Raw genomic sequence first — 21,521 nt, 5'->3', positions numbered from 1 at the left:
AAAAGAATTTCCAAATTTTGTAGAAGTCAACCATGTATGTTTCTTAAATTGATTAAATGAATATTAATTTTCATTCAACAACTTAATTGCATTCTGGCTTTATTAAAAGTATGTATTAATTTATCCAAAAAGATTGAATGTTCTTTCAGCAGAATTTCAACCTCACACATTAAAGGCACTGACATTTCAATTTTACTAATCTTTTCAAACTATTGGTTCACCTCCCTTGAAAATTAGACAAGGACACCTTTCCTTAATGTTTTTACTCCTAAGTTTGTGTGTGATTTGGGTACACTTGTAGATCATCAATTTTCTATTCTAATCATGGACACTGAAGACTCTCACTTAAAAAATGTACAACGAAACATCCATGGTCTTCCAAAGAAGTGAGAAAAAATATCTATAACACCTTTGTCTCTATCAGCTTGTTGACTGTTATGAGGTTTAAAATGATATTTTAATGAGCCATGTTTCAAGAGATCACATATTTATACTTTCTGTTCAAAATTTCTGTTTATTAGGCAAAACCATGTTAAAAAAATAGAAGTCGAGACCCCTGAATTACTTATTCTCTGTACATAAAAAGGGACAGACACAAAAGAACTAAAATTTTCATCAAAGAAGATTTTATTGCCATCATGTTTAAGGTCCCTAAACCAAATATTCACCAGAATGCTGTCATGATGCTCTGTGAATGAAGCCTAGAATCTATTCTTAGCTCCTCTAGGTAACTTAAAGGGGGGTACATTCGAATGCTTCCCTCTATTTTCCCATCTTCTCACATATACTCAATGAGTTAACTTCATTGAAACGTAGTCATTGGTTTTCTAGCAGAGGGTAGACATTATTCTGATACAAAGTCAGCCAGTTAGTCTGTGTTCCAGGCATCGTGGAAGGTAGTGAGAATAAAATGATGGGTGAAACAAATGGTGTCTTTTAAACAAATTATTAATAATTAAATAAATGTGCAAAGTGCTGTGAAGGAGAAAACAAAGGTTCTACTTCTGCAGCGGGGCATTAAGAAGGAGCTGGTGGGAGTACTAGCTTTGCCAATTTTATTCCTCCATATTTACTAAAGGGGTATCTTAATACTATCGTGGGTGGCTGTCTGGCTTTCTTCATTCTACTCTTTGATTATTCTTAGCTCCCCTAAACCCATTACAGTAACTTTAGTTGCTTAGAGGAAGTTTCACCCACTCCTAATCCTGGAGTAGTAGGTTTTCTTTGTGCTTTTCAAAATAATCAAGTTTTCCAAGTTGTAACCTAATTAGGTTTTTATTCAAAGAGTGAAAAAAGAACAATGTTCAAAATACCAAAGTCATCACAACTTTGTAGAAATACCATGATTAGAAATTATTATTGAAAAATACCAGTACTTGTTAGGTAACACTAGTTACCATCAAATGCTTATGAAAACTTTCAAAGATGGTGCATGGTAAGAAACAGCAGTCATTAGGGGTGATAGTGTCTTTCTTTTTGTCCAAATACTGGAACTTGCCTTAACAGCAAGGCTCTTTGCTAAATACTGTATTCAAGTGGTTTTATTTGAGGAAAAAACACCATATGTTATTGTGTTTAGATTATTAATTACATTTCCACTGAATTATCTAAGACAGAATTCTGTGAAGCAGCTAAAATGTTCCATTATTTGTTGAAAATAAAAAGTATGTGTGTTTTTTTTTCTAACATCAACATAAAACAACTCCAAGATCTTGAATGAAATTGACATTGTTAAACACTAGTAACCCATCTGGCATTTTGGACAACCGGGATTTTCCAAAATTTGGCAAAATTAACACGCATTTTGGTCGTTAGGGTTATTGTATCATCTGTTTGGATGGTTACCTGGAGTCATTTATGTCTGTAGTTTAAAATCAGGTTAGCACTATACTTTGGAGGCAGTCTTTATCTGTGAACGGGCCTAAAGGGTAGTATTCGAAATCAAATTGTTGCCAACCTGATTACTACTATGGATATCTAACATAGTTGCTTTGGCAAACATCTATTTTGCTTTGTTTGTCACAACACACATAGTATTTATATTGTAATTTTATAAAATACAAATAATTACTTGCCTTAAATTGGATGGAAAGGCAGTATCCTCATATACAAAGAAATATTTCTTTGCAAGTGAAAAATTATAGTTTTGATACCAGTTTTAATAAAAGAAGTGGTCATTTTAATTATTGAAATTAGAATCAGAATTCATTTGGCTGCCTTTCTTTGTGTCTACATCACAGAGTGGTGGAAAATTAATGCAGTATTGACAAATTTAGGTCAGAATGCAACTTAGCCAATAAACCAAGATTTAAGCTGCCTCAGTAACGTTTCAGTTTTCCACCTCATTAGCACATGCAGACTAACTTTTAAAAGTTAAGTAGATCATTTGATACCTTTAGAAGTAGTTAGGCTAAGTTTATGGTTCTACACAAAATAGCATTCCATTCTTTGTGTATGAGGATACAGGCTTCCTATCCAAACTCAGAAATGCGTAGCATTAATATTAAGATAAATTCTTTAGTTACATTTCGTGAAAATAATTAAATGCCATAATTTCTGACAAAGTGAGCTAGTTGGGAAAAAGACATAGTCTTTGGTGAATAGATGGATAATTTAGGGAATGTGAGTTTGAAATATTCTTCTGTATCTGAGCTTTCTTTTTTCCTTTAGTACTAAACCATCCTACTATTTCCGGTTCCTGATGATAGAATGGGATTGGCAATACTAACTTAACTATGTTCTCAACAATGTAATTTAAATGTTTTGCTATAAATATGTCCTACAAATGAATACAAGTGTTTAGAAAAGCTGAATGTTTGCTGGGAATGAGTGAAAATAATCCAGTCTGTTTGGGTGAATTAGGAAGAATTTGTATATAACTTGTAATTCAAGATGATAGGTAAAAAAATCATTGTTCTAAGTTGTCTGGTGAATTATTTTATTGCAGTTATAGATATCATTTTAGTTAATATAATTTCCTTTTGGAGGGGTTCAAAAATGAAAATACAAGTGCCAGTCTGACAAATGTGAGTGTGATTTAAAAATCAGTGTTTTAATTTGTGATGAGAATGATAGAAAAGCGAGAATCATCCATAAAAACAACGGAATACATTGAGGGGAATACTACCCACCTAAACAGTAGGACTTCTGTTTATGAGGTTAAAAACTTGTTTTTCCATTGCTTTTTAATTATATCTAATTTTCTAAAGGAAATAGGCATTATGTGCTCAGGGATTTACATATAGTAGAAAGAATCTCAGCATATAACCAGTAGCTACAGAGGTAAATAAATTAGCCAGTGTTTGACAAGTGAAAGGTTTCTAAATGAGGTGAGTGGAGGCAGAAAGCTTTAGGAACTGGTTTTGTGCATTGCCCTTGGCTCAAAAATATCGAAAATGTATCCTTGTTAAAATTTTGTCTTTTCTGAAAATTGGAAGTGACTTTTGATCATGAATTCCCTAAGGGAATGATAATTCTCCAATTGGACAGTTATAATGTGGTCCATAGAATTTTCATAATGCAGTGGCGATTTCAGGCCAGTCTCATATGTTACAATGCTAAAATAAGTCAGCACAATTCTGCAGAATACTAAACTGTTTATAGACATTGGAAACTCTGATGCCAGCTAATAAAAATACCTTGAAAGAGGACTTGAAATCAGTTCCTGAGTTGCATGTTAATGTTAAACTTGATGGTGTAGTATAGGGACTGCCCGATTTTTATCTTGTAACTGCAAGGGGAATATAACATTATGTGTATGTATTTTCCTGGAGTTTTTTTTTCTTTTTACTTTTTTTTTCCTGTTATAGAAAACACTAGTAGAGAAGCATACACTTATCTTGAGCCTCCACTTCTTTCGGTGCAGTTTGAATGCCCCCAGTGTGTCACTGTGTCAATTTTGCCAAAATTCTTTTGAGAGAACCTGACACGTAACATGGCAGCCTGATTTCAGGTTTGGTTTTCAGATCCAAAACATGCCTCCCATCCCATTCGAGCCCTCACCAATTTATCAACCAAGGATGTATGTTATTTCCTCAAAACTGATTATCACCTGTTCTCTGTGGTCTCAGAAACCAAACTCAGGTTTCCAATCAGCTGGCGTGACATTGAACAATGGCCCATTTTAATTGTGCAGAGCACTGCAATTTGTAAAACAGTACCATGTTCATTGATGTTCTGCAGGTCTGGTTTGTGTTTACTGTTCCACTATAGTATTGGTATATTATTTATAGAAAGGTAGAAAACTAATGCAGAGTAATAAATCTTTACAGACTCTTAACTCATCTGACTAAATACTGTGAAGGCTATAATTGGACAACTAAAATTGATATAGAAATTAACTGATTGTGAAAACTTAAAATGCATGACTTTTTTGAAGAAATGGTGCTGGAAACAGAGAATTTTATGAAATTTTAATTTGTTTTGCAAACACTGAGTGTAGGTTAGCAGGTATTTGTGGCATGCAAATCTTTTGGTGGAAAAGTCAGGGTAGAACAAGTTTTCTGGTCTCTTATAATATTACTATAAAATTGTCCAAGTCTTATGTATATGTTCTTGCTAAATCTAGTATTGGACTTCGGATGGTAAGTAAATATCTGTCTAACTGTGTCAATGTAAAGCCCAGCCTATTATTTTAATAGCCATTAGTAGGTGTCTATAAAATATTTTTCACTTTTTTTTACTCCCCATATCTTAGTCTTGTTCAGTAAGAGAGAGGGAAATGGTAACTGGCTGATTTACATAGTCCTTGATTTTAGTTCACCTCTTAGGCTGGCACTATTATTTGGACAATGGATTCTAGTTGTTTACTGAAAGAGATATGATGCCACAGGCCCTGTTTGCAGCTCCAAAGTACCCACACTGAACCTTGAAATGCACCTCAGACCTCCTTGACTATGATAGCCATATCGAACCACTTTTTCAGCTTCCTGATCGAGGTTAAACTGATCAGCAATTTAAAGTTTTGGTGCTGGGCAACTGGCCTGAGTGAATCATTCCAAATGGATATAATGACAACAATTCTAAAACTTGGCACCATTCGCCAGGGATATAGTCTCAATAATCCAGTCTAAGCCCCAGGTTTTGGCCAGAACAGTGGCAGTCATGGCCCATTTCTAGTTTCTTTTGGAAAATAAAATAGCTTTTCTGTTTGAGCAGTCATATCTCTGGTTGTGGACCAAAGGAAAGGTAGAAATATCACAACAGTGGTAATGCTGATGATTCTCCTTGTTGACTTTACATCTAGGGTAACTTTGTCATTAGCCACAACCTCAGTGCTGAAAATAAACATAGGACATTTAGAAGAAAATCCAGAACTGATTATGTTTATCTACTTTTTAGAAGTATTTCCTGTGCTATAGGAGGTTCTTTTTCTAATTAGGTTCTAGTCCCTTTTACTTTTATTCTCCTGGTGCTTTCTACTATAGCATTTTACTGGTTTTTCAAATGAAATGAAGAATTGCTATATTGAGGAAATGTAGCAATATGCGATTAGGAATTTTTTGGAATTTTCTCTCGCTATATTGGTTAAGCATCACTTTGCACTCCTGTATTATTCATTTATTAAATTAACTTCATTGTGTGTTTTGTAGTTTAAAAGATCTTTGCCTAGAAAAAAGTTCAACATTTGAAATGCTAAATAAAGTATAATGGTTAGCAAACAGCAGCTCAGCCATGGAGTCCAAACCAACTCACCACCTGTTTTTGTAGATTAAGTTTTATTGGGGCTGGGTGCAGTGGCTCACGCCTGTAATCCCAGCACTTTGGGAGGCCGAGGCGGGTGGATCACTTGAAGTCAGGAGTTTGAGACCAGCCTGGCCAACATGGTGAAACCCAGTCTCTACTAAAAATACAAAAATTAACTGGGCGTGGTGGCACATGCCTGTAATCCCTGCTACTCGAGAGGCTGAGGCATGAGAATCACTTGAACCCGGGAGACGGAGGTTGCAGTGAGCCAAGATCGTGCCACTGCACTCCAGCCTGGATGACAGAGTGAGACTCTGTCTCAAAAAAATAAATAAATAAGTTTTATTGGGGCACAGCCAGCTTGTTTACACATTGTCTGTGGCTGCTTTCACACTATCATGCAGAGTTGAGTGGGTACAACAGAGACCATAAATCATAAATCCAAAAATATTTCTCGTCTGGCCCTTTATATGGAAAGTTTGCTTATCATTTTCTACCTTAGTCTGTCTTTACAAAATGCAAAACGTGTATTTTAGCTATTTTTTTGAGGATATTTAAAATAGAGAAAAGTGATCAAAATTCATTCCTGTTTGAATTATGGCTGAAAGTGAAGAGTCAAATGTGTGGCATTTTTTTTCACACTGAGCTATGTGAAAGAGCTAATCAGGAAAAAACAATCTATTGCACTTTCACTTTAAGATATTTTATATGGGTAGATATTTAGTTACATTTTGATTTAAATGAATCCAATGCTTTAAAGTTTTTACTTATGTAAAATAATTTAGGGAAAGTTGCTAACAGTAATAATCGTTCTATAAGAGTAATAGACCAACTAGAACATATGGAGCATAGGCTTTCTTAATCAAACTCTCCAGGAATTGCATAGATGGATGGATGGATGGATGGATGGATTTTATTTTTTTCATTGTACACTTTTATATAATTAAACTTTGATTTTTTTAATTCAGAAATTTCAATTTACACACCTGTTTTTAGAAGGATTTCCATCATGCCAAAGTGCAATATAATTGTGCACTTGTGTAAACTTTTCCCAAGAAATTTAGAGACTTCAAATGTAAGGACTATTTTTTTTTTTTTGGCTTTTTAATTCAAAGCTACATGCTGTTATGGAATAAAAAAGCCCAGTATGGCTAGCCTTTTAACTTCTAGTTAAAAGCCAGATCTACTTTTGTTTGAAGTTGTATGGCTTTGTTACAAATAGATGGCATTAAGAAGATGCTCTCCACTTTGTTGTGACTCATCTTTATATTTTAAGAAGTTTGGATTTGTTCAATTTCCCCTTGTTTGTTTGTTTCTTGATTGCAGTGCAAGTTCTAGTTGAGAGCCTGTGAAGCTTCCACAATTTCGTAGGAGGGGAAGATGTGGAAGAGGATGCTTGAGACAGGGATGTACAAATATAAATAAAAGAAAATCTTAGGGTATTGGCAATTCCTCTGCTCATCGTTTATCCTACCGTAACAAAGAGTGCATTTTGGAAGCTTTCTGGGGGGATAATTTCAGAGGGAAGCATCAAAATATCATGACTTCTGGACTTAGGATAGAATCCATTGCAATTTAATGATAGATTAAAATCCATTTGCATTTTCTGCACTTACATTAAACTGAGGGCCAGAAGAGGCGCTTGGGGCTTTTAAACAACTGCTGCTCTCCATAGTATCGTTTTATATGATGTTTCCCAACCTGTATAGTACTTTCATAGATTCACTTTGTCTCTTCTGAGAGAATATTTTACCATTCTTATGAATGGAAAATGGGCCAGTTTTTCATCATACTATTTCTACATTTTTGTTTTATAAGAAATGAATGCATTTCAATAAGGTTTATGTGTCACTAAGAGTGTGAGAAACTGTTTGGAAGTATCTGTGAACAGAGGCCTGCACATAGTAAGTGGTCAATATATGCTTACTGTTTCCGTGTATGAATGAAGGGGCCGAGCAGCCATTCAGAGTCCATTCTGGCTCCCTGGGAATACTTAATTTTAGAAACCACACCCGTGATGGTAAATACAGCAGTGAAACTAGAATCAAATAAAAAAGAAGTGGAAAAAACAAACAATATTCCTGATGCTAATTTGATGGGGAGTTGTTTTAGAGGGAGTGGAGGAGAGACAAATAAAAACTTTGGAGATTTTTATATGGTTAAGGAAGGCTTTCCAAGAAATAGCAATAAAAAAAAGAATATACTACTGTCACATGCAGCATGGATGAATATGAGAAACTTAAAAGCCAGACACAAAATAGTTCATACCATTTATATGAAGTTTAACAGAAGGCAGAACTCAATCTGTGGTGACGGATGTCCTCAGTAGCCCAGGTGGGAGGGTCATTATTGACTGGGAAGGGGCGCAAGAGAAAAATCTGGGTGATAGAAATGCCCTGTATTTTAATCTGGATGGTGTATAAATATCTATAAGAATTCATCAACTTCTCTACTTTCTATACTTAAGATTTGTGAACTTTATTGCTCGATAAAAATTTAAATCATAATAATATTGAAAATAGGTCATGGAGGGGACACTTGATTTAACATGAATGCCTAATAGAGTCCTTGGAAGAAAATCCTAGCAAACCCCTGGTCTAAAACTCTGCTGAGCTTAGCATAGGAGACTTTTCTGAATAAGGACATTTCCTATTCATTTTTGTTGCAAAACATTTCAAACCCCAAAGGATGCTTAGCATGCAGTAAAATCACATCTGTTGAGCCACTGCAAGGTGAAGGCTGCTGAACATAGTTCTGTTGATTCTTTGAGGACTTACTACTCAAAAACAATTTCTTTTTTCTTTCCAGATTGGCAGATTGCTACTCTGGCTTTACTCCTGGGCGGCGCTGCCATCATTCTCATTGCATTCCTGGTGGGTTTGATTTCTATCTGCGTGGGATCTCGAAGGCGTTTCTATAGACCTGTTGCGGTCATGCTTTTTGCAGCAGGTAAACAGATTCATTACTTTCAAATGAGTATTAAAGTTTCATGAACCTTTCTACCATCTTCCTTTCCTATGCAGAAGAGGTATGTGTTTGCTGCATTACGTAAAAATTGAGAGGCATTTACTATATTTTTAAGGTAACTTGGCTAAAGGTTTATCAGATTATCAGTTTTCAGTGTGTTAAGCATTTCACAGAGCACAATGGCAGCTTCTAAACCTCTGACTAAAGCATGAACAAATAATACTGCCTGACAGGGCTATTACCTTAGGAATTGCAGCAGGTGTATTTACTAACAGTCTTTTACATCCAGTTTTTTCCCCTTTTTTACTGCTCCCCTGGTGATCTTAAGGCAGCATTATTTTTTCTGATAAGGAACTGAAAACAAATTCCAAAATGTTTACCCTTAAAGATGTATATCTCTTTGAAAATGTGTGATGTATGACTCCAACCATTAGACAAGTCAATTATATGAAGTCAATTGTATGTTAATTAATTTATCAACCATCATTGTATGAAGCACAGCTTGGATTAAAATATCAACCAATGAAATGAAAAGACGGGACTGTTTAGAAAAGGGGCTTGCAGACTAAAAGCCCAATACATGATTTGATGTGAGCTTTAATTTTCATTTATAAAAATACCTTTGAATATATTGTTCTTTTTGACTCAAACTGCAATATTCTGTGGTGCCTTCAGTTTGCCCTGTCAGTCATATCTGATTTGAAGACTGCAAAGTAAGCTTCTGTGACTATCAATAATGAAGACACTGACAAAACCATCTAGGCTGTTAGATGGATTTTTAAAAGCTGTTTCAAGATTGGAATAGATGAAATTTCTCAGGATTTAAAGGGTAGTTGGAGCTAAAAATACAAAACAGAAGTGTTCTGCTGCCCCCTACTGTTTGTGTTCATTTTCTTATACCCATGAAGGCTGGTCAGAATTGGGGGTGTCATAAAAATGAAGGTCCAAAGGGCTGAAGGAATCCAGAAGTACATCTAATTCAAATCTTTAAGTGACTTGCTCAAGATCGCATAGTAGCTACTGGCAGACCTGGGCCTGGGAGGCTTCTGAATCTTAATCTAGTGGTTCATTAACCACTGACTTCCTCACTTATTTATGCAACTATTTCTTAGATGCCTATTACAGGCTAAACACAGTATTAGACACCTATAAAACTGGCCACAGTATCACCACAGATACTCACTAATAGAGTAGAAAGCACAATTTCAAAAAATATTTTGAAGTCTTAGTCCCAGTTATTCGGGATGCTGAGATGGGAGAATCACTTGAGTCTGGGAGCTTGACGCTGCAGTGAGCCGACAGCACACCATTACACTCCAGCCTTGGCAACAGAGTAAGACTCTATCTCAAGGAAAAAAAAATAATAAAAGTACCTTTTTCTGCCGAGACATGTGCAGTACATAAAATCAAAACAGACACATTACTACTACCGCTTGGAAACATCTCTATCCGAGACTTCACACTTACTTGATTTAGTACCGTGTGCTATGCCTGGTACTCATATACACTCAATAAATAGTTTTTGAATGAATGATATAAAAATGACTAAGGCATGTAGCTCATAATCTGGTGGGGTAAAACAGGCATGTAAACAAATAAGTAACTGTAATGAAGGGTTTTTTTTAAGCAATTTCTCTTTTGGGGTCTTAGGAAGCAGCTAGTTTCACATGACTACAAAGCTAAGACCAAAAGACCTCAAAAAAGTAATAAATATCAAAAGGATGTTTTTTCATATATTTATGTTTTTATTTATTTAATAAATATGTTGGGCACTTACACTATACAAGTAGACAGTCTTGGTGTTATAAAATATACTCTAAGGGTTTTTACTGAAAACTGATAATTAAGTCTCATAAAGATAGCCAAACAGATTATAAAGATTTTGTCTTCTTTTTTTTTTCTCTGAGGTCTTTTATTTAGGGCGGGCTTATTACCTTCTTGAATAGTTGCTAGAATAGCTAAGAGCTAGCCATTGCTGTAGCCCATCTAAAACACTGTCCTTTTTTCCACAACTCTCTTTCTCACCAGTCCTATAAATCTAGACTTCAGAATTAGATATTTTTATAATAATAATGCTGATAAGAATGATTAATTAAGCACCTGTCATGTGCCACGTGCTAGACACTTAACATACACTGTCTCTGATATAACAATCTCAAAGTTAGATATTTATTTTCTCCGTATTATCAATGAAGAAACAGGTTCAGAAAAATTAAGTAATTTCCCAAGGTCATTTTAACTAGTAAGTTGTACATCTAGGGTTTAAATTCAGGATACCTATCTGACTTGAAAGCCCGAATGAGGATTCCCCAGTTATCTTTACTTCAGTACATATCACATATTGGAAAAATCAGTGCAGAATCAGCCTTGATTTTGAATTCAGTTGCCAACTGTGCACTGCAGTTGGAGTCCGTCCTGTAACTCCAGTTACTCCGTTTCTCGGGAGCAACACCTGAAGGCATTTAGTACCTTGAGATGTCATAAAGACCACAAACTGATTGATGCAGCATGACTGCACCATAGCACATAATGAAAGTTGTGCACATTTCCAGTACAGTTGACTACAGCATATTTCTTTTTGTGTAACTGACAGTGATAGGTAATATATGATGTGATTCTGATAACTGGCATCCAGTTCTCACTAAAGACTTGGTGAAATTAGAGGGACTGCCTCTTGCCACGTTCTCTTCTTTTATTGTCTACTTTTGAACTATCCGCAGGTCATTTGTATGTCCCACAGGAATATAGGATGAGTGTTTTCTTTCTTTCCAAGGCCTTTAATACAAATTGCAGAAAATTCTCTTTTATAATTCGATTTTACATACAGAATCCCCATTTATTATGTTATTAAGGATGATTCTTTATGTTATATCTGCAGAAAGCCTCCTATAAGGATTGTTTTTATAGAAAGGTGATGTTTTTTCAGGGTCCTGCAGCTGATTTCCATCTCTGAGCTATCTCTGATTGGAGGCTTGTGTCTTACAGCCCTCATCACCATCCTATAAGTCACAGTGAGATAGCTGGAACCATTTCAAGTCTAGATTTTGGTAGAAAAATCAGTGTCCAGTTTAGATTTCAAACTAAAAGAGAGTTCTTCTATTCAGGATATTTAGATTACATGTTAATTTCCCTGTACCGTTATCAAACTACACTTCGGCTAGAACAATTTACAGTATCACTTCCCAATAATTAATTTCATACTGCTGCCACTAGTAGTTACAAATTAAATTTTAAAAAGAAAAGAAATGGATACCTTCATATTAACCTTCCACTGGCAAATGCTTTTTATTCTCCAAATCATTGTTTCTTTTATGTCAATTTTATATTTAGGGACCAACCTGGCTGGTAGGGCCTATCAACCTTTGCCTTTAAATTATCTCCTAATTTTGTACCTTTTTTTCGTACACCATCATTATTGCCTTAGTCGAGGCCACAACTTTTCCCTAAATGGAACGTCTCATTCCCCAAATTTGGTCTTCCCCTACTTTATTTTGTTTTTCTATGGCAATATCTGACTGTTTTAAGATGTTTATGTGACTCCTTTATTTTGCCTTGTTGAGTATCTAGTTTTTCAGTTCTTTCTTTTAGTCTTTCTTTAGATTCCCTGACTTTTCTTTCCCACTGATGACACCTTAGTCATCACTGCCTACAGGTCCCCACACACTGAATGACCTTCTAGGGGCCTGTCCTTCTCTAATCTCTTCCCCATGTAATCTGTCTTGGATACAACACATGAGGTCTCCTTGTGACATAAACATCTGGTCTTGTCACTTGTCCCTTTGATTTCTTCAGAAGCAAACCCTGAGACGAGAAATCAAGTGCATATACTTTATTTGTAAGGTAGAAGAAGGGATATGATAAAGAGTATGGAAAATGAGACGGGAATGGGAAAGCAGCCATTAAAAGGTTACATTATCAAGCCAGTTGTCACTCGAAGCAGCTGGAGCTTAATCTTCTTGGGGAAACTTTAAAAACCGGTGTAGAACACGCACCTCGAGAATAATCTCATTCAGAGGACTACGGAGCTGGAGTATTAATGCACCAAATTTGGAGCGTCATTGGTTGAGAAATGTCGGTTATAATCAAGGGAGAGCAGTGTTAATTTTCTGGACCTGGCCTGCCCCATAGGCAGCTGAAGAGGCTTTAGTGGCCAGAGGTAACTCAGGCAAAGAAATACAGGTGCTGGCAATTGGAAGTCAGGGTAGCATGTACTGAAGTGGGGAAGATAAAAATATATGGATAGGACACCAACCGCATATACAATTACAATAACCTCGCAGATGGTCTCCCTAGAGAAACAAAAGTTTATTACTTTATGAAACACTATGGTATTATAGTATGAACTAAACAGCCTTGTGCATGCGCCCTTCATTTTACCCATGCAAATTGCTTCTAGTCATACTCTCTTAATAGCTGTAAGCACTATAGAATATGCTTTGTCTTCCTAGACGTCTTTTCTTTCCTCTGCCTCTTCTGACCACCTTTCATCCATCCTTTAAGAACCAATTCAAATGATGTCCCTCTGAAGCCCTCCTTTCTTTCTCTAAGCTGAATCAGTACTTGGCACAATGTTTGAGCTCAGTAAATGTGTGTTGAACATATTATAAACAAACATGCATGCCTCTACTATTGCTGTTGAATGCATTGATTTATAATTACTTGTGTGCCTGTCTCCACCATCAGAGTATGAATCATCAAAGGGCGAGGGCCATGTCTTATCTATCTTATCCCCTTCATCTAGCACGTAGGCACCCAATATATGTTTATCAAAATAGTGAAATGTCCTTCTTAGAAGAAAATATTGAATATTTCAATATCAATGCTTTGAATATTTTAGTGTTGAAAACACTGAAAAATATCCCTTTAAAACTAGAATAAAACACAAGAATTAGTAGGTCTACATTCCCGTCATGCCTCTGATCCACACAATTTCATGGTTAGTAGTTTCATTGCCTGTTTTCAAAAAAGTGCAGGGGGCATAAAATGAACCCCAAATCTCTTAAGATTCTAAAATGTTCCAGAGCTGTACCTATGTTATCTTTGAGGAAGAGCATAGAGAATACCATATCCAATGCCTATTTTGTTTCATTGATTGGTAGTAAAATAGAAATATAGTATAATGGCATTTTCCTGACTTCTGAACTCTTTATGTTTTTTTTTTCTTCCCTCTACAGCATCTATGAAAGGCAAGGAGGCATTTTTACCTACATCTGTGAATTTTATTACATGGAGAAAATTATTTACAAATGCAGAATTATATTTTTCTCAGTTTTGCTATTACATTCATTTTTCTCTGTGATTCCAAAGGGAGTCGAATAATTCAGAGGCATGAAGTGTTTTACAGTAATTTTTATTGAGCTCCAACACAATAAAAGTCTAAGAAAGTTGTTCGGGAGAGTATGCCAGTAGGGCCTAATGGAGTTGTATTTCCATTTTTCCACTAGAGGGAAATTATATCATTATATTATACCATGGAGGCCAAATATTTGCTAAATAAAACACGTTGAAATGAATATTAAAAGCAGCGTAGGTAAACACCTCACTCCAGGGACTAGTCAGTTCACAAAAGAAGCAGTGTAATCATTTTAGAGTAATTCAGATTAGTTATTACTTCTCTGCTCAAACTCTTCTACCAGCTGCCTGTCACACGTAGAATAAAATCTAGACCCCAGATATGGTTCACAGGCTGTCCATGAACCACGAAGGGCCCCTGCTGTTTCTTCCATCATATCTCATGCTTCTCCCTTCCTGCTCTCTGTACTGCAATCACAGCCTTCTGACTTCTGTTCCAGTGCACCAGATATGCTCCTGTGATGGGAGTTTTGCAGTGCCTATGCCTTTCACGTGGGAATGCTCAGTCCCCACTATGTTGTTCTGCACCCCCAATTCATTCAGATCTGTGCTCAATATCTCCTCCTCAGAGCAGCCTTCTCTCACGATTGATCTAAAAGAGCAGCCCTCATCCCTGTGTTCTGTCTGCTTTCTTGCATTTCTTGTCTCTTAGCAATATGTGACATTATATTCTATATTTGTTTACTAATGGACTGACTACCCATGAGAGTAGCAGCTTTGTCTCTTTTGATAGCATAATGCCTTAAACTGTATCGCTTTAGAAACATTCAGATATTTATTGAATGGATGCATTTATTGAATGAGTAAATGAATTACTATACCTAACCCACATTCTTGTTTCAGTCATATCCTGGTAGGATCAGTACAGATTTGACGAGTGAACAGAGTATAGAAACCTAAGGAGAAGTGCCTTTTTTTTTTCAAATGTACTTGGCAACTTTGGAATTTTCTTCTCTGTAGTTATGGTTGATAGTAATTGACTTCTTGTTAGTTTTAAGACATTTAAAACATGAAAGCTCCCTTTTCCTCACAAAGGCAAAGAGCCAACTGGGCTTTTTTTAAAATTAATGCACATTTTAGCACTTACTAACTGGAAATAGATGAAGTGTGGGTCATACAATATGCCGTCAGCTGAGTCCTAACAACAACCAAAACCTTTTCTGAGAAGGTCTGATTTCTATTTTGGATATCAGTAGGGTATCCTCTTATACAAACTTACTTGTGTATCCACTCTCAGTAGTAATGGTAGGCAAAGTGCTGACTCAGCAGTGTTGTGCTACACGGCAGAAATGTTGGGTGTTTTTATATCTAGTTCTAGGTCGGTCCTTTGACACCTAGCCAGAGCCTTATAGAAAGAAATTTTGAGGAATCATTTCCTCATGAATTTGCTGTATTTCATCAGTTTTATGGGAGAGAAAGATGACTGTTATGTAGACTTTCTAGGAATCTTCATCATACTGGTAATAATCTTTTACATGGGCTAAAAATAGATGAGAGTACATTTTAAAACATAAAATTCCATTTTAATTAAACACTCTATCCATCCTAGTGTTCTTTTTTAAAACATATAAGCGATATCAAAACTATTTATGTATATAGTTTTACTATGTCAGTTTGTTCCCTCCTTTTCTTTAATTATTCACATTTTTGTTCTTTTCAGATGAATTAAACAAAAATTATTTTACCCCCTAAAATTATTTCATATATCAGAGGTTAGCAAACTTTTTTTGTTAAGGGCAAGAAAGTAAATACTTTTGGCTTTGTGAGCTGTGTGGTTTCTTTTGCAGCTTCTCAACTCTGCCATTGTTGCATAGAAAATACGTAAATGAATGAGTGTGGCTGTGTTCCAGTAAAACTTTTTCAAAAACAAAAAGCAGACCAGATTTGGTAGTTTGCCAACCCCTGTTAAATATAACTGTACTCTGTATTTTTTAGGGAAAAAGATTGTCTATTTCTTGAGGGTGGAAGCTGTCCTATGGTAGAGAATGAAGCTGTAGTTAACTAATTGTAGTTAAACTAATTAAAATAAAATTACATAATAATTGATCTAATAGGAAGTTAAGAATTTTAAGTGGAAGACATTATGTCTTGTGCATATCCACAACATAAATTTCATTTTATTTTAGATAGTAGAAACAACACAAAACAAAACAAAAACAAAATAAACATTCCCTTCCTGATTATTTTGGTTTATTTTATTCGGTATGACTAATCATATTTCCCCTTTGGCCCTGACAGAAGTAGGATCTAACCAGGGACTAAGAGCTAAGTTTTGACCTCTGTTACAGTAGCCATAATTGGCCTAGGTTTTCCTGTACCATTATCTCTCTTGCCTTTATCGACTTAATTCTTTTTTGAAAGTAGGTGGAAAACAGATATGAAAATATCATCTGTTAATAACTTTTAAGCCACTTTTTAAAGACAAGAGGCATAGAGTGGATGAGAAGAAAATAATGAAAGTAGCTTTGGATCAGAGTAATGTAAGCAAAGACATCATGGTGAGACTTTCTGGCATATTGGGCTGAGTTAGTATTGCAAAGCAGCAACAACATCAAAAGCACATTATCACTCACAGGATGACCAGTTGCATCAGTAGAAATTAATTTGAATTTCCTAATTCCTTAATAGCATAAATAAATAACAAGAGTTTCAGTTGGCATTGGGGTCACTATTCTTTTTTTTTTTTTTTTTTTTTTTTTTTTTTTTGAGACAGAGTCTGGCTCTGTCGCCCAGGCTGGAGTGCAGTGGCATGATCTCAGCTCACTGCAACCTCCCCCTCCCTGGTTCAAGCGATTTTCCAGCCTTAGCCTCCTGAGTAGCTGGGATTACAGGTGCACACCACCACACTGGGCTAATTTTTGTATTTTTAGTAGATACGGGGTTTCACCATGTTGGTCAGACTGGTCTCGAACTCCTGACCTCATGATCCACCTGCCTGGGCCTCCCAAAGTGCTGGATTTACAGGCGTGAGCCACCGCACCTGGCTGGGGTCACTATTCTTGAGGAGCTACTTATACGGTTTATTAGTGGCACAATTTAGTTTAACTAGTACTACTTGCCATAATAATAATGATAATTATATTTTTAAGGTGAAAATCACTACTTTGTATGCTCATATAAATTATTATATTGCACTAATTATTTTATCTATACTAATAATGATTTACTAATTAATAGGATAATTCTTATATATTGGGAAAAGGTATTTAAACAAAAAAATTATTAGTATTTTAAAGTATACCATCTAGAACAAGCCATCTTTAAAATTTTTGGCTTTTATGTATATTTGATTACAAAGTTACTCTCATACATATATAGTTACATATTTATATTATTTTATTTGCTGCAAATAACATTTTCTAATTTTGATTTGCTTTTCTTTCAGTTGTTTTACAGGTTTGCAGCCTGGTCCTTTACCCAATCAAGTTCATTGAAACTGTGAGCTTGAAAATTTACCATGAGTTCAACTGGGGTTATGGCCTGGCCTGGGGTGCAACTATATTTTCGTTTGGGGGTGCCATCCTTTATTGCCTGAACCCTAAGAACTATGAAGACTACTACTAGAACCAATAGTCTCAAAGTAAAAACAACCACCACCATCCAACAAAAGGATTACGTCTGCATCTTTTCTAACTTACTATTTTCTAAAACACTTGTGGAGCATCAAGCAGTTTGCTCAGTTGATTTAATCTTTTTTGCCTTTTGGCTGTCAACATCATAACCAGCTTTTACATCCATTTTAGAAATCTGCACAAATTAAGAGAGCTGATTAGACATAGGCAAATGCTGCAAACTTCCAATATGTTCATATCGTTTTTCTTGACAAATGAAGGGTCTATATGACAGCAACCATTGTGAGAAACTAGTTGGAATGAGATTTGCCTCAATCTCCTATTGCCTGCAGGGGAGCAGTTGGCATAAGCAACATTTAGAAGTTCCTTTGCGCTGACAAGGATTCCACTGTTAGAGCCCTTACCGCCTGCTTATCCTACCCAATGACTACATTGGCTGTTGGTTATTTGCTTGAGTGAGCCCTTGAAAAATGAACTGCCCTTCAGCATCTAATGGGAGTTGTGAATGTAACTGGTTAATGATACACATTCCACCTTCAGGAACACTCTTTTTAATGGGAGGTTATGCTTTGGCAATCAGCGTCTCCCTGGGAAGAGAGTCAAGACTTGGAGACATGTGCTTCTCATTATGTGGTTAGAAATTGGTGCCTCAGCCCTATCTAGACTGGGGAAAAATTGAGGATCTCTGTTTTTCCTGGGGCAAACAGAAAGAAATCTGCATGAGTTGCTTTTGTACCCTTTAAATCATTTGCCAAACATTGCAGCAAACAAGTGTGCGTATGTAACAAGCTTCACTGTTTTTATAGAAGGTGAACCATTAGTATAAATGGTAATAAGTTGTTCCCTAACCCTCCACATACATTTGCCTATCACACGTAAAATTAATATTTACTCTAGTGAAGTGGTTTGAGCACTAACCTTGTACACATTGTTAAGAGGCTTAGATTGGTATTCATACTTATTTACCATACAAAAGTATGGTACCTTAAAGCTTTTGCTCTATGTTCTTTACTGTTTCACTGGAAAGTGTCAATAGAGTTGCCTAAGAATAAAAATTGAAATGGTGTTAATCTGAAAATTAATGATTCTCTGTAAGCACTGTAGTTGAAAAGAGAGTAGCAATTAGGATGATCATTTTGTGTAAAATTCATTAAAATAGAAGGCTGCTATTTTTTGCAAGTATTTTAAATGTCTTCATTTTTTTAAGAAAGGAATAGCGATAGATTTATATAAATATCTAAATGTCTCAGTAGAGGAGTAGAATTCATCTGGTTATCACCTGGTCCTCTGAAGTTAACTGATGGGCTAACCGATTTGTGCACACACTTAGGATGGATTTATGTTAAGGGAATTACTTACTGACTGTTCAATGGAAGGAAGTATTAATAATAGGGAATAAGTTTGCAACTAATCTCATGCTGCAAACTTGTGTTAATTCTGTTTAATATACAAATTTGGATAGCTTAATTATAAACATATTTTTATATCAAATATACAGTTCTAATATAAAAGTTATAAATAATTATTTTTGTTAACAAAGACACTAAAACAGTATGTTCTGGTTTTGGCCCTCTTGCAGAAAGAAGCATTAGAAAAATTACTTTAAAAGTAGCTATATGTTACTGTATTGCAAAATCTGTTAAGAGCAGGACCACATCGATAGTATTTAATAATTTGTTTTACCTCCCAAAACACAGTTCTTCTTTCAGCTTGTCTTAAGAATGGTTGCCAAAAACAACAGCCAAAAAAAAAAAACCTATTTTATTATCCAAATGCTAGAAAACACACATGAATTTTCTATAAAATCACGAATATGAAGTACCAGGTTTAGTCTTACTTTAGCAATGATAGACAAAAGCGAATAAATACATCACAGACAGAAACCTTTATAAAAATATATGATTCTATAAAGAATCATTAGAAATTATGAGTGGAAATTCTCCAGAAAGATAGTATTATAGAGTCTTTTGAAGCAATTTTTTGAGAAATAGTAAAATCTGGGGCAGAGTGTCTTGCAGTTAATTGCATATTGTCAGAGCAGCATGAGAAATATGATATTTGGATAGGGATTTCAGCAACTAAACATTCTCTGTTCTGAGATCTCTTTATTCCTGAATAATGAAAGAATAGTACTTTGGTGCTGACACCAATGAGGCACTTCTCTTGGTCCTAGTAGAGGATGCAGTGTACTGTTAAACCAATATCATCACATCTCGAGTCTTATCAAGTTTTCATTCTCTGTCAATATGACAAGCTCAAAGTGACAGAATATGTTATAGGTTGAAGCACACATATTTGCAGTTTACTGAAAAGTAGATTTCTTATGTGACTTTTTTCCCTTCTCAGCAAAGAGCCCTACACTAGATTTCTACCATCACTAATATTTGGAAGTATTTCATTACTAACAATCTCAGTACAACATGAAAATTGTTGCTTCTCATCTAAAATACAATTTTGTCTATCAGAATAAACACAAGTGAAATTTTCACCTACATTAACATTATGTCTTTGCAGCTTTAGGTTTGTTAGATGTGTTCTTAAGCATAATTTTTAGCCACAAACCCATTGTTAGATAGATATCTATGGATATAGATCTACATCTATAGATATAGATATACACACATATATATACTCACACACATATAGCATAAAATACTCAGCAGGGCTAGTTATTCCGATTTCTTGCACAATTATTTAGCTTTTTGTAAGTTCAACATGTAAATTTTAAAGACATAAATATAGAGAGACTTATGTGTTTGAATATAAATGATATATATGGATTAGCATGTACCTGTATATTATTAAACATGCAATGAACTGACTGGTAAGTGACGTCTAATTGTATGGCTAGCAATGTAATTTATTCAGACTGTATTTTTGTACAGAGCAGTGCACTCTAACCTATGCCTCTGTGTCCTCTTTAATGCCTAAAGCTGTGCCTAGAAATTTCATCTGTCTTAAAAGTAAAATATACTTCATGCTGTTTATGCTATTAGTTTCTGTACTGCTATTCTATATTTATTATTTTTAAATATATGACATGTTTACTACTTAAACATGAATTCATGGTATCCTGGTTATTTTTTTTAAGTCATCTGGGGGAAAACCTGTTTATCACTCCAGTGATTTTGAGTTTGCAGTTTCACAATCAGTTCTTCATTTCATGATTTTTGTAGTTGACATGAAGTCATCTATGTGGAAAAAAATAAAAATAAAAGTGATTTCACGGATGTGGTTTGAATTTGTGTCGTCTCTGTTGTGTAAACTCTTTAGACAACGCTTCTAAATTACATATATTCATTACATTTTCTCCTTCAAAATATATATTATTTAGAAAACATCTTAATATGACATGCTGATTTTACTTGAAAACATTTTTAAATTTTTTATTACAAATTATCTCCCAAGATCCTTCTATTCTCCACAGCCTTTGCACGGTCAGTGATAAAGGGATACTATTAAATATCTTTTATAACCTTCTGTTTTAAAATGTACTCAAAGGAGATGTAGTGCAGGCTTCCCTTATTCCGACTCTAATCACACAATTGGAAATGATTAGTCAAAGGGTTTGATATGGTATTTTGTTCTTTGTGTAGTTTTCAACGTTTGCAGAGTGTTAAAGCCAGCTTGTCTGTATTATCTCTTAGAAAGACTAAAAATTCAGTGTGTATGTGTGCATGAGTATGTGTGCATGAACGTGTGTGCATGAGCATGTGTGTGTGCAATGTGCATGTGTGAAGAAACTGATAAAGTCAAAATTCATCACCCTTTGATGTATATAAATGGTGAGAATATGTGAAAAAGCAATTTAAATTAGACATTCAATAAAATTCACTTGCATGTATGCCAATTTTTTTTTTTCCTGAAAAGGAGTCTCACTCTGTCACCCAGCCTGGAGTGCAGTGGCGCAATCTCAGCTCACTGCAACCTCTGCCTCCCGGGTTC

General features: G+C 35.3%; 1 protein-coding gene across 1 annotated transcript in view; it reads left to right on the top strand.

The window, feature by feature from the left end:
• The window catches only part of TMEM47 (transmembrane protein 47), a 30,211-nt gene extending 9,405 nt beyond the window's left edge, over window positions 1-20,806 (top strand). The window contains exons 2-3 of the mRNA NM_031442.4: window positions 8,494-8,634; window positions 17,390-20,806. Coding sequence (NP_113630.1) covers window positions 8,494-8,634; window positions 17,390-17,568 — 320 coding nt within the window. The 3' untranslated portion in view covers window positions 17,569-20,806. The remainder of the gene's footprint in view (window positions 1-8,493; window positions 8,635-17,389) is intronic.
• Window positions 20,807-21,521: the final 715 nt, after the last annotated feature.

The sequence above is a fragment of the Homo sapiens genome, chromosome X (assembly GCF_000001405.40).
Source record: "Homo sapiens chromosome X, GRCh38.p14 Primary Assembly".
Classification (NCBI taxonomy): Eukaryota; Metazoa; Chordata; class Mammalia; order Primates; family Hominidae; genus Homo; species Homo sapiens.
Note: the sequence above shows the minus strand (reverse complement) of the source record. Positions and strands in the feature narration are given on the sequence as shown.